The sequence below is a fragment of the Homo sapiens genome, chromosome 19, assembly GCF_000001405.40.
Source record: "Homo sapiens chromosome 19, GRCh38.p14 Primary Assembly".
Taxonomy (NCBI): Eukaryota; Metazoa; Chordata; class Mammalia; order Primates; family Hominidae; genus Homo; species Homo sapiens.
In genome coordinates, this window is record NC_000019.10 from 1,661,277 (window position 1) to 1,673,234 (window position 11,958).

Below are 11,958 nucleotides of genomic sequence, written 5' to 3' on the forward strand. Positions count from 1 at the left end.
TAAAGACCCGCCATGCCACTTTTGGTTGAAGCTTTTGTAAAGGAAAAAAGCATATTGAAAAAGTGCAGGAGGAAATGCCCCAAGGGCTTGGTGGTTACTCTGGGGGTGGGGGACACTTTCAGTTCTTACTTTATCTTTTTTTTTTTTTTTTTTTTCACTCTGTCGCCCAGGCTGGAGTGCGGTGGCGCGATCTCGGCTCACTGCAAGCTCCGCCTCCCGGGTTCACGCCATTCTCCTGCCTCAGCCTCCCGAGTGGCTGGGACTACAGGTGCCCGCCACCATGCCCGGCTAATTTTTTGTATTTTTAGTACAGACGGGGTTTCACCGAGTTAGCCAGGATGGTCTCCATCTGCTGACCTCGTGATCCACCCGCCTTGGCCTCCTAAAGTGCTGGGATTACAGGCGTGAGCCACTGCGCCCGGCCCTTACTTTATCTTTTGAAGAGGCAGGATTAGCTTGAGAGTTTACATTGGACATTATTTTCTCTTTTCCTTGGTTGAAAATGTTTGTTTTGGGGGCCGGGAGTGGTGGTTCACGCCTGTAATCCCAGCCCTTCGGGAGGTCAAAGTGGGAGGATTGCTTGAGTCCAGGAGTTCGAGACCAGCCTGGGCAACATAGCAATACCCCATCTCTACCATAAATTAATAAATAAAATTAGCCAGGCATGGTGGTGTGCAACTGTAGTCCCAGCTACTAGGGAGGCTGAAGTGGGAGGATCCCTTGAGTCCAGGAGTTGGAGGCTGCAGTGAGCTATGATTGTGCCACTGCACTCCAGCCTGGGGGATAGACCGAGACCTTGCCTCTTAAAAAAAATTTCATTTTGACAATATGCATAAGGCCACATGCGTGAAGCTCAGTTGGAATGTCACTTGCAACATCATAAGAGGCAAAGGATTTGGGTTCTTCATATACAAAGAGTTCCAACAAATCAATAAGAAAAAACTCAAAAAGAAAACCATGTAAAGAAATGAATGATTAATTCATACAAGAAGAAATGCAAATGGCCACTGGATACAAGGCCACAGAATATTTGGAAGGTGAGGCTGACAGGAGAGCTGCTGTCCTGGAGACATTGAATAAATACTGCCAGGGGCCGGGCACGGTGGCTCACACCTGTCATCCCAGCACTTTGGGAGGACAAGGTGGGCCGATCATTTCAGGCCAGGAGTTTGAGATCAGCCTGGCCAGCATGGCGAAACCCCCCTCTGCTAAAAATACAAAAATTAGCCAGGCATGGTGGTGTGGGCACCTGTAGTCTCAGCTACTCAGGAAGCTGAGGTGGGAGAATCGTTTGAACCCAGGAGGCAGAGGCTGCAGTGAGCTGAGATTGTGCCACAGCACTCTAGCCTGTGTGACAGAGTGAGATTCCCTCTCAAAAAAAAAAAAAAAAAAAAAAGACTGCCAGCATCCACTTCATCTTCATGTTCTAAGATGATGGTTTATCTTTGTGTGTATTTTATGTTTTTTAGTTTTAATTTTTTTTTTTTAAGAGATGGGGTCTCAGCTGGGCGTGGTGGCTCACGCCTGTAATCACAGCACTTTGGGAGGCCGAGGCAGGTGGATCATAAGGTCAAGAGATCGAGAGCATCTTCGCCAACATGGTGAAACCTCGTCTCTACTAAAAATACAAAAAATTAGCCGGGCATGGTGGCGGGCGCCTGTAGTCCTAGCTACTCGGGAGGCTGAGGCAGGAGAATCGCTTGAACCCGGGAGGTGGAGGTTGCAGTGAGCTGAGATCGCGCCATTGCACTCCAGCCTGGGTGACAGAATGAGACTCCATCTCAAAAAAAAAAAAAAAAAATTAGCTGGGCGTGGTGGGCGGGGGTGGGGGGCGCCTGTAATCCCAGTTACTCAGGAGGCTGAGGTAGCAGAATCGCTTGAAACTGGAAGGCAGAGGTTGCAGTGAGCGGAGATTGCGCCACTGCACTCCAGCCTGGGCAACAGAGTGAAACTGTGTCTCAAAAAAAAAAAAAAAAAAAAAAAAAAAAGATGGGGTCTTACTCTGTTACCCAGGCTGGAGTGTAGTAGCACGATCATGGCTCACTGTAGCCTCAAACTCCTGGGATCAAGCCATCCTCCATCCTTAGCCTCCCAAGTAGCTGGGACTGCAGGCATGTACCACCACACCTGGCTAATTTTTCTTTATTTTGTTTGTAGAGACGGGATCTTGCTATGTTGCCCAGGCTGGTCTCCAACCTCTGGACTCAAGCCATCCTCTCATTTTGGCCTTCCAAAGTGTTGGGATTACAGGCATGAGCCACCATGCCCGGACCCCCGCCACCCCGCTTTTTTTTTTTTTGAGACGGAGTTTTGCTCTTGTTGCCCAGGCTGGAGTGCAATGGCGTGATCTCAGCTCACTGCAACCTCCACCTCCCGGGTTCAATCGATTCTCCTGCCTCAGCCTCCCTGGTAGCTGAGATTGCAGGCGCCCACCACCACGCCCAGCTAATTTTGTATTTTTAGTAGAGACGGGGTTTCTCCATGTTGGTCAGGCTGGTCTCGAACTCCCAACCTCAGGTGATCAGCCCCACCTCGGCCTCCGAAAGTGCTGGGATTACAGGCATGAGCCACTGTGCCCTGGTCCCGGCCGCTTTTTAAAATTAAAGAATGTTTAGTTTTTCACCTCACCATAGATGCTGCATGACTGAGATTGCAGAACCACAGAACGGGCGTGGGTGGGCTTCCACCGGGGCACCCCCTCCTCCTGCAGGATCCGCACTGCCCGGGCATTTCCCTGGGGGTGGGGAGGCCTCTTGCTGTCCCAGGGTTCCCTGGGGGAAACCCCTGGTGTCCTGGGGAGGCCCCACCAGGTTGATCGTGAGCTTGAGCTCAGGGCAAGGAGCACTGCTCAGCGAGTCCACTGTGGTTGTGGTCACACGATGGTGTGAGCTCTCATCTGTCAAAGGAGTTTAACAAGAGCACCCACCAGGGTGAGTTCAATCTGTCCATCGAACGCAACAGGCCCAGGCCCCGGAGGCTTTTAGGGCCCATGAAAATGTCTGTCTTCCTTCCTCCCTCCCTCCTTCCCTCCCTCTCTCCCTCCCTTCCTCCCTTCCTTCTTTTCTTTCTCTCTTTCTCTCTCTTTCTTTCTCTTCTTTCCCTTCCCTCCCTCCCCTCCCCCCTCCCCTCCCCTCCCTCCCTCTCTCTCTGTCTCTTTTTCTTTCTTTCTTTCTTTCTTCCTTTGTTGCAGAGTCTTGCTCTGTTACCCAGGCTGCAGTGTGATGGCACAATCTCGGCTCGCTGCAAACTCTGCCTCCCAGGTTCAAGCAATTCTTCTGCCTCAGCTTCCCAAGTAGCTGAGATTACAGGTGCCCACTACCATGCCTGGCTAATTTTTGTATTTTTACTAGAGATGGGGTTTCACCATGTTGGTCAGGCTGGTCTCAAACCCCTGACCTCAGGTGATCCACCTGCTTCAGCCTCTCAAAGTGCTGGGATTACAGGCATGAACCACCATATCTGGCCAAAAATGTTTTAATTTCTTTTAAAATCAGGGCCGGGCACTGTGTGGCTCACACCTGTAATCCTAACACTTTGGGAGGCTGAGGCGGGAAGATCGCTTGAGCCCAGGAGTTTGAGACCAGCCTGGGCAATACAGCGAGACCTCGTCTCAAAAAAAAACAAAAACAGAAACAAAAAAACAAAAAGCCAGGCGTGGTGGCAGGCACCTGTATTCCAGCTACTGGAGAGGCTCAGACAGGAGGATGGTTTGAGCCCAAGAGGTTGAGGCTGCAGTGACCCAAGTTTGTGTCACTGCACTGCAGGATGGGAGACAGAGTGACACCCTGTCTCAGGAAGAAAAAAAAATTTAATCAGAAGAAAAATGATGAATAATAATTGTTTTCCGATGAACAATAATAATAACGAATTAAGGCCGGGCACAGTGGCTCTCACACCTGTAATCCCAGCGCTTTGGGAGGCCGAGGCGGACGGATCATGAGGTCAGGAGTTCAAGACCAGCCTGGCCAACATGGTGAAACCCCGTCTCTACTAAAAATACAAAAATTAGCTGGGTGTAGTGGTGGGTGCCTGTAATCCCAGCTACTAGGGAGGTTGAGGCAGGAGAATCGCTTGAACCTGGGAGGCAGAAGTTGCAGTGAGCCGAGATCGTGCCACTGCACTCCAGCCTAGGTGACAGAGTGAGACTCCGTCTCAAATAATAATAATAATAAATTAATAATAACAATTCTAGTCTCAATTTTACTTTTTTTTTTCAATAGAGGAAAGGACTCAGGATGGCAAAAGTGACTTGGTCCCAGACAGCCCTACAGGGCAGTCCTGCCCGGGAAGGAGCAGGTGCTCTCTGCTGCTGAGGCCCCTAGCAGAGGCTGGGCCTCTGGGTCTCCCAGCAGGTGGCAGGGGTGTGAGAAGGGGAGGCCCCTTTCCAGAGGCCAGGGACGGCCCCAAGGGCTGCCCGGGAGATACTGGGTCATGTGACCCCCCGGAGCCACCCCCTGAAGCTTGGTCTCAGGTTTTCTATTTGCTTCAGACTCTTGTTAGTCCCCCCCAGCTCCTGCTCCATCAGGCCTGGCCTCCTTATCACCCCGGCTGTCTGGGTGGGGGCATGGCCCCCTCGTAACCTCAGCTACCTGCAGGGCAGGGCAGAACCCCGGGTCTCCGGCCGGTCCGTGGCCGGTATGTACCTCACGCATACAGTCTGCACACTGGGCAGAGACAGACAAGAAATTCACCAGCCACTCCTCACTCCTGTCCTGACCCTGAACCTGACCCTGTCAGGGAGACCTGGGCTGAGACGGGATACAGAACTGGGTACAGGAGCCTGCAGCTAGGGCTGAGTCAGGGCAGGCCCAGGGGCACGGGAGGAATCCAGGGGACACAGCAAACTGGAGAGGGGCGGGAAGCATGTGCCCTGCACCTGGCCGGGCCCTACTTCTCCCTTCCTTCTCTTCCTCCTCTTCCTCCTCTTTTTTTTTTTTTTTTTTTTTTGAGAAGGAGTTTCACTCTTGTTGCCCAGGCTGGAGTGCAATGGCGTGATTTCAGCTCACCGCAGCCTCTGCCTCCCGGGTTCAAGCAATTCTCCTGCCTCAGTCTCCCGAGCAGCTGGGATTACAGGCACCTGCCACCACGCCCGGCTAATTTTGTATTTTTAGTAGAGACGGGGTTTCTCCATGTTGGTCAGGCTGGTCTCGAACTCCTGACCTCGGGTGATCTGCCCTCCTTGGCCTCCCAAAGTGCTGGGATTACAGGCGTGAGCCACCGCGCCCGGCCTCTCCTCCTCCTCCTTCTTCCTTCTTCTCCTTATTCGTTATTATTATTTTGAGACAAGTTCTTGCTCTGTCGCCCAGGCTGGAGTGCAGTGGCGCCATCTTAGCTCACTGCAAGCTCCGCCTCCCGGGTTCACGCCATTCTCCTGCCTCAGCCTCCCGAGTAGCTGGGACTACAGGCGCTCACCACCATGCCTGGCTAATTGTTTGTATTTTTAGTAGAGACGGGGTTTCACCGTGTTAGCCAGGATGGTCTCGATATCCTGACCTCGTGATCCACCTGTCTCGGCCTCCCAAAGTGCTGGGATTACAGGCGTGAGCCACTGCACCTGACCACACCCTGCTGATTTTTATTTTTTGTGTAGAGGGGGGTCTTGCTGTGTTGCCCAGGCTGGTCTCAAACTCCTGGCCTCAAGGAATCCTCCACTTCAGTCTCCCACAGCACTGGGATCCCAGGTGGGAACGCCCTGGCCTGGCTGACCCTGAACTTTTTTTTTTTTTTTTTTTTTGAGACGGAGTCTCGCTCTGTCGCCCAGGCTGGAGTGCAGCGGTGCCATCTTAGCTCACTGCAAGCTCCGCCTCCCGGGTTCATGCCATTCTCCTGCCTCAGCCTCCCGAGTAGCTGGGACTACAGGCGCCTGACACCACGCCTGGCTAATTTTTTGTATTTTTAGTAGAGATGGGGTTTCACCATGTTAGCCAGGATGGTCTCGATCTCCTGACCTCGTGATCTGCTCGCCTCGGCCTCCCAAAGTGCTGGGATTACAGGCGTGAGCCGCCGTGCCCGGCCGACCCTGAGCTTTATTTTGTCTCGGAGGACTCCACTGCCCTCCATGTCCGGCCTCCCGAGCCCCCTCTGCCCACCTCCCTCCAGCTGCGCTGGCCACCTCCTCGCTGCTGCTTGGACACCGTTTTCTCCCTGTGACCTCAGGGTCTGTGCCCAGGATGTCCCTCGGCCGGGAGCCGTTCCTCCCCACTCTCAGGCCCCTTTGCCGGTGTATCATCAGTTTATCGTTCCTCCCACTCTCAGGCCCCTGTTTCTCCCCCTTGCGCCTGTGGGGCTTGCCTGGCTCTGTAAGGGGAGCCCCGGGCCCAGCCTGGCCGCCCCACACCTCCAGCATCCATCTGGGGCCTGACACACAGTAGGTGCTCCATAAATGCACAGGCTAAGTTGGGGGGTTCCCCATCTTACAGGTGAGGAAACTGAGGCTCCGAAGAGGGCGGCCTGACAGGCATCTGGGAGCCCCGGCCCAGGCGAAGGTATTTCCTCCTGGCCCAGGGCGCCGTGGGGTCCCGGGGCAGCTGGTGGGGCCGCCAAAGGGTGGCCGTGTGTGTGGCGGTGGCAGCTGGGGCTCTGGCAGTGGGGGAGGGTGGGCGGGAGGCAGCAGCTGGTGGCTGGCCCCAGGCCAGCTGGAGCCTGTGCAGAGGGAGGGCGCTGGGTCGGCTCACGCTGCCTCTGGGTCCCCTTCTGAGTCCCCCTCAGCCTTTCTCGGTTGGTCTCCATCTCTGTCTTTGTCTCTCTGTCTCTGTCTCTTTCTGTCTGTTTCTCTCTGTCTTCTTTCTCTGTGCTCTCTCTGTGTCAGCCTCCCTGTCTCTGTCTCTTTCTCTTCCCCATCTCTGTCTGTCTTTTTGTCTCTGTCTCTGTTTCTTTCTGTCTCTGCGTATCTCTTTCTGTCCCTCTGTCTCTGTCAGTCTCTCTGTGTCTGTGTGTGTCTCCATCTCTCTCTGTCTCCATCTCTCTCGTTGTCTCTCTGTTTCTCTTTATCTCTTTCTGTCTCTCTCTGCCTGTCTCTCTGCCTCTCTGTCTCTCTGTTTCTCTGCCTGTCTCTCTCTCTGCCTCTCTGTATCTCTATCTCTCTGTCTCTTTGTCTGTTTCTGTTCTTCTCTGTCTCCTTCTCTGCTTCTCTGTCTCCTTCTCTTTCTGTTCCTATCTCTTGTCTTTTTCTCTGTCTCTCTCTGCCTCTCTGTCTCCCTCTGTCTCTGCCTCTCTCTCCTTCCCCTTCACACTGGGGACTCCCCTGACTGGCCCGGACAGGGGCTGGTTACACTGCTGCACCCTCTCTTCCAGACCTCCCGCTCCACCCCACTCCCTGCTGCCTGCACCCCTGCGTCAGCCAGCACCTCTGTGCTGGCATGAAGGTCTCTACCCACCGGGAGGAGCCCAGGACCCTCTCACGGGCTGGGGACCCTGTGCGCATCGCTCCCCCTGTGAGCCTGCATTTCCCCACATGCAGGGTGTTTGCAGAGCCCTCTCAGAGCGGTGCTCTGGGGAACCACAGGGCAGAGGTCTCAGCCCGTCGGGGCTCCCAGCCAGATGGGGAAGGAGAATTTCGAAGGAATCGCCTTACAGGCATTTGAAACTCTGCAGGCAGAGGCCAGGGGAATCCCGGGTGGAGGAGCAGGCAGGGTGAGGGCCCTGAGAGTCCCTCCCCGGGTTAGGAGCAGGCAGGGTGAGGGCCCTGAGAGTCCCTCCCCGGGCCACCCCCAGCCACACTCCCCCGTCACACAGGGAACCTGGCCCAGTTGCCCGTACCCACTGGTCCTGGGGAGGGCAGCTGGGAGGGGCTGTGTGTGCACTAGGGGGGCGGAGCTGGGACTCCCCCCAAGGACCCTCCCTTCCGGGATCTACACCCCTGATCCCCCCTCGCCAGCACATCCACCCACCACCCTCGCAGACAATAGAATTCATCACTGTAGAAACATCCTCTGGGGCTGGGGCTTAATCAGTTCCTGATTTGCATTTTTGCATATTAATGACAGCAGAGCTGCTAATTTTGGCACATGATTTTAAAGGTGCAGTAGCTCTGAAACTACGGAGGCGGTGAGGGGGTGAGGACCGGGGCCTTCCTCACCTGGCCTGGGGGGTGCTGGCCCTCAGGTTACAGGTTACAGGGTCTCTGCCCTGGGAGCGGCCCCTGCCTCTGGGAGCTGCAGGGACCCTTGGGGATTATGGGGTCCCTGCCTCTGGGGCTCACAGGAATCACAGAGTCTCTGCCACTCTATCTTTCTTTCCTTCCCTTCCCTCCCTCCCCTCCCTCCTCTCTCTCTCTCTCTCTCTCTCTCTCTCTCTCTCTCTCTCGCTCTCTCTCTCTCGCTCTCTCTTTCCTTTCTTTCCTTCCCTTCCTTCCCTCCCTTCCCTCCCTCCCCTCTCTCTCTTTCCTTTCTTTCCTTTCCTTCCCTTCCTTCCCTCCCTCCCCTCCCTCCCCTCTCTCTCCTCTCTCTCCTCTCTCTCTCTCTCTCTTTCTTTCCTTTCTTTCCTTTCCTTCCTTTCCTTCCCTCCCTCCCCTCTCTCCTCTCTCTCTCTCTCGCTCTCTCTCTCTTTCCTTTCCTTCCTTTCCTTCCCTCCCTCCCCTCTCTCTCTCTCTCTTTCCTTTCCTTTCCTTCCTTTCCTCCCCTTCCTTCCCTCCCTCCCCTCTCTCTCTCTCTCTTTCCTTTCCTTCCCTTCCTTCCCTTCCTTCCCTCCCTTCCCTCGCTTCTCTCTCTCTCTCTCCTTCCCTTCCTTCCCTTCCCTCCCTCCCCCTTCTCTCTCTCTCTTTCTTTTCTTCCCTTCCTTCCCTCCCTCCCCTCTCTCTCTCTTTCCTTTCCTTCCTTTCCTTCCCTTCCTTCCCTCCCTTCCCCCCCCTTTCCTTTCCTTCCTTTCCTTCTCTTCCTTCCCTTCCTTCCCTCCCTTCCCTCCCTCCCCTCTCTCTCTCTCTTTCGTTCCTTTCCTTCCCTTCCTTCCCTCCCTTCCCTCCCTCGTCTCTCTCTCTCTCTCTCTCTCTTTCTTTCTTTCTTTCGCTCTTGTTGCCCAAGCTGGAGTGCAGTGGCACAATCTTGGCTCACTGCAACCTCCGCCTCCCGGGTTCAAGTGATTCTCCTGCCTCAGCCTCCCGAGTAGCTGGGATTACAGGTGTGCGCCACTATGCCCAGCTAATTTTTGTTTGTTTGTTTTTTGAGACGGAGTTTTGCTCAGTCGCCCAGGTTGGAGTGCAGTGGCGCGATCTCAGCTCACTGCAAGCTCTGCCTCCCGGGTTCACGCCATTCTCCTGCCTCAGCCTTGCGAGTAGCTGGGACTACAGGCGCCCACCACTATGCCTGGCTAATTTTTTGAATTTTTTTTTAGTAGAGACGGAGTTTCACCTTGTTAGCCAGGATGGTCTCGAACTCCTGACCTCAGGCGATCCGCCTGCCTCGGCCTCCCAAAGTGCTGGGATTATAGGTGTGAGCCACCGCGCCCGGCCCATGCCCGGCTAACTTTTTGTATTTTTAGTAGTTTCACCATGTTGGCAAGGCTGGTCTCGAACTCCCGACCTCAGGAGATCCGCCCACCTCGGCCTCCCAAAATGCTGGGATTACAGGCATGAGCCACCGCGCCCGGCCCACTCTTTTTCTTCTCTTTTGAGGCAGGATCTTGCTCTGTTACCCAAGCTGGAGTGCGGTGGTGCAATCATAGCTCACTGCAGCCTCCACCTCCTGGCTCAAGTGATCCTCCCACCTCCCACGTGGCTCGGACCACAGGCGTGTACCACCACACTAGCCTAATTATTTAAAATTTTGAGTTTGGGTGCCGTGGCTCACGCCTGTAATCCCAGCACTTCGGGAGGCAGAGGCTGGTGGGTCACTTGAGATCAGGAGTTGGAGACCAGCCTGACCAACATAGGGGAACCCCTTCTCTACTAAAAATACAAAAATTAGCTGGGCATGGTGGCACGTGCGTGTAATCCCAGCTACTCGGGAGGCTGAGGCAGGGAGAATCGCTTGAACCCAGGAAGCAGAGGTTGCAGTGAGCCAAGATCGCTACTGCACTCCAGTCTGGGCGACAGAGTGAAACTCCGTCTCAAAAATAAATAAATAAATACATTTTTGTAGGACAGGGGTCTTGCTATGTTTCTCAGGCTGGTCTCGAACTCCTGGGCTTAAATGAGCCTTCTGCCTCAGCCACCTAAAGTGCTGGGATTACAAGTGTGAGCCATCACGCCCTGTCTTTGCCACTCTTGCATTTGGGCATCAACGCTGGCATTGGCCAGGGGAACTGGGATTCTGGAATTTTCTCCAATTGGCTCCATCCTGAGAATCCCATATTTGGAAAGCTGTGAATTCAAGTTCCGAGTATCTTAAAACCTTTGGATTTTACCCATCGAGGCTGAGGATAGTAAGAATATTTACCGGCCAAGAATATCACTTTAAAAAAAAATCAAAACAAACCTTTGTATTCTCTGTCCTAGGTAGACCCTAAATCCTGCCCTTGTCCTCACCTCCTGCGCTCAGATCGGAAACCTGGGACCTTTGCCTCCAAACCCCACCCCACAATCCCGCCCAGGCTCAGGACTCAGTTCCCTTCGCCCCCACCGCGCCCTCCCCCGGCCCTCTGCACCTGCCGCGTCCCGTACCCGGCCTGCTCTTCTTCACCATTGGTGCCTTTTCCTTCAACCCCACCTCCCCAGGGAAGCCCTCCTGGTGACTTCACCACGCCTGTGTGTTCAGTTATTCTCCCTCTCCCTGGGAGGTGGGGAAACCGAGGCATAGAGCGGCGAGGCTGGTGCTCACGGCCCCCCGGGGTCCTCCCCAGACCCCTCCCCTCCCTGTGGTCCGGGGGTGCATGGGGTGGGGCGCGGGGGCCTCGCTGGTCCTGGGGTTCAGTCGGGCGCGCGTGCTGCCACCTGGTGGCCAATGGGGCAAGGCCGCGGGTCCTCCCCGGGCGTCGGGGCCCCCACCCCACGGAGCCCACCCTGCGCTGGGGGAGGTGGGCTCAGGAAAGCCGCGGCCCCCGCTCGGGACGCCAGGGGTGGGGGACACGGAGCTTCGCCAGACTCCCCCAAACTCGGGCGCGTCATGGGAAGAATGGAGGGAGCTGGATGATGGGGGTCCTGCGGGCTGCCTTCCCTGGGTCTTCTGGTGTTGTCCCCGTCCCGTCCCCTTCTTACCCCTGCGTGACGCCCAGACCGAGGGAGGTGGGACTGGGACCCCCTTCCAGGGACAGAGCTGCAGCGGGTCTGGCGTCCACCAGGGCGCGCCCGCAGCCCAGAAACCCGCGGGCGCTCCCCACGTGCGCGCTCACACGTGCATCCGCGGCTACCCCAGTGCCTCGCGGCTCGGGCTTTTTTTAATTTTTATTTTATTTTTATTTTTTTGAGACGGAGTCTCGCTCTGTCACTCAGGCTGGGGTGCAGTGGCGCGATCTCGGCTCACGGCAACCTCCACCTCCCTGGTTCAAACGATTCTCCTGCCTCAGCCTCCAGAGTAGCTGGGACTACAGGCACGTGCCACCACGCCCAGCTAATTTTTGTATTTTTAGTAGAGCTAGGGTTTCACCATGTTGGTCAGGCTGGTCCCCAACTCCTGACCTTGTCATCCGCCCACCTCGGCCTCCCAAGGTGCTGGGATGACAGGCATGAGCCACCGCGCCTGGCCGGCTCAGGCATTTTGACCCGAGGCACACGTGGTCCTGTGTGGTTGGTGTGTTTCTGAATGAACAGTGTTCACGTAGATTCAGGTGTGCCACACGTGATGTATACGGGGCATGCTTATGCGTGTTCTCGCATGCTCGTGTGCATTCTAGCATGTGTGCTCACTCCTATACACAGGTTTGCATGCGTGTGCTGGCATGTCCGTGTGGGTGCACACAGAGGCTGTGACATGTTCGCTCGTTGCCACGAGCTCAGGTGTGTTTGTACATGGTCAGTCCCGTTTATACATGTGCACGCATGGGCACGTATGTGCCAGGAAGGTTCACACATACACCTTCTCATGTGCG

General features: G+C 55.3%; 6 annotated features.

Moving 5' to 3' along the window:
• Positions 5,795 to 6,295: an enhancer, noted in NCBI's record as "H3K4me1 hESC enhancer chr19:1667070-1667570 (GRCh37/hg19 assembly coordinates)". NCBI's record gives its function as "activates a minimal SCP1, AML or CMV promoter by ChIP-STARR-seq in primed H9 embryonic stem cells {active_cell/tissue: H9 hESC(primed)}" and the evidence as "EXISTENCE:reporter gene assay evidence [ECO:0000049][PMID:30033119]".
• Positions 6,682 to 6,731: a silencer, noted in NCBI's record as "silent region_9741". NCBI's record gives its function as "represses an Ori minimal core promoter by ATAC-STARR-seq in GM12878 lymphoblastoid cells {active_cell/tissue: GM12878}" and the evidence as "EXISTENCE:reporter gene assay evidence [ECO:0000049][PMID:35858748]".
• Positions 7,668 to 8,418: an enhancer, noted in NCBI's record as "H3K4me1 hESC enhancer chr19:1668943-1669693 (GRCh37/hg19 assembly coordinates)". NCBI's record gives its function as "activates a minimal SCP1, AML or CMV promoter by ChIP-STARR-seq in primed H9 embryonic stem cells {active_cell/tissue: H9 hESC(primed)}" and the evidence as "EXISTENCE:reporter gene assay evidence [ECO:0000049][PMID:30033119]".
• Positions 10,574 to 11,273: a silencer, noted in NCBI's record as "silent region_9742". NCBI's record gives its function as "represses an Ori minimal core promoter by ATAC-STARR-seq in GM12878 lymphoblastoid cells {active_cell/tissue: GM12878}" and the evidence as "EXISTENCE:reporter gene assay evidence [ECO:0000049][PMID:35858748]".
• Positions 10,574 to 11,625: a biological region, named in NCBI's record as "H3K27ac-H3K4me1 hESC enhancer GRCh37_chr19:1672373-1672900".
• Positions 11,098 to 11,625: an enhancer, noted in NCBI's record as "H3K27ac-H3K4me1 hESC enhancer chr19:1672373-1672900 (GRCh37/hg19 assembly coordinates)". NCBI's record gives its function as "activates a minimal SCP1, AML or CMV promoter by ChIP-STARR-seq in primed H9 embryonic stem cells {active_cell/tissue: H9 hESC(primed)}" and the evidence as "EXISTENCE:reporter gene assay evidence [ECO:0000049][PMID:30033119]".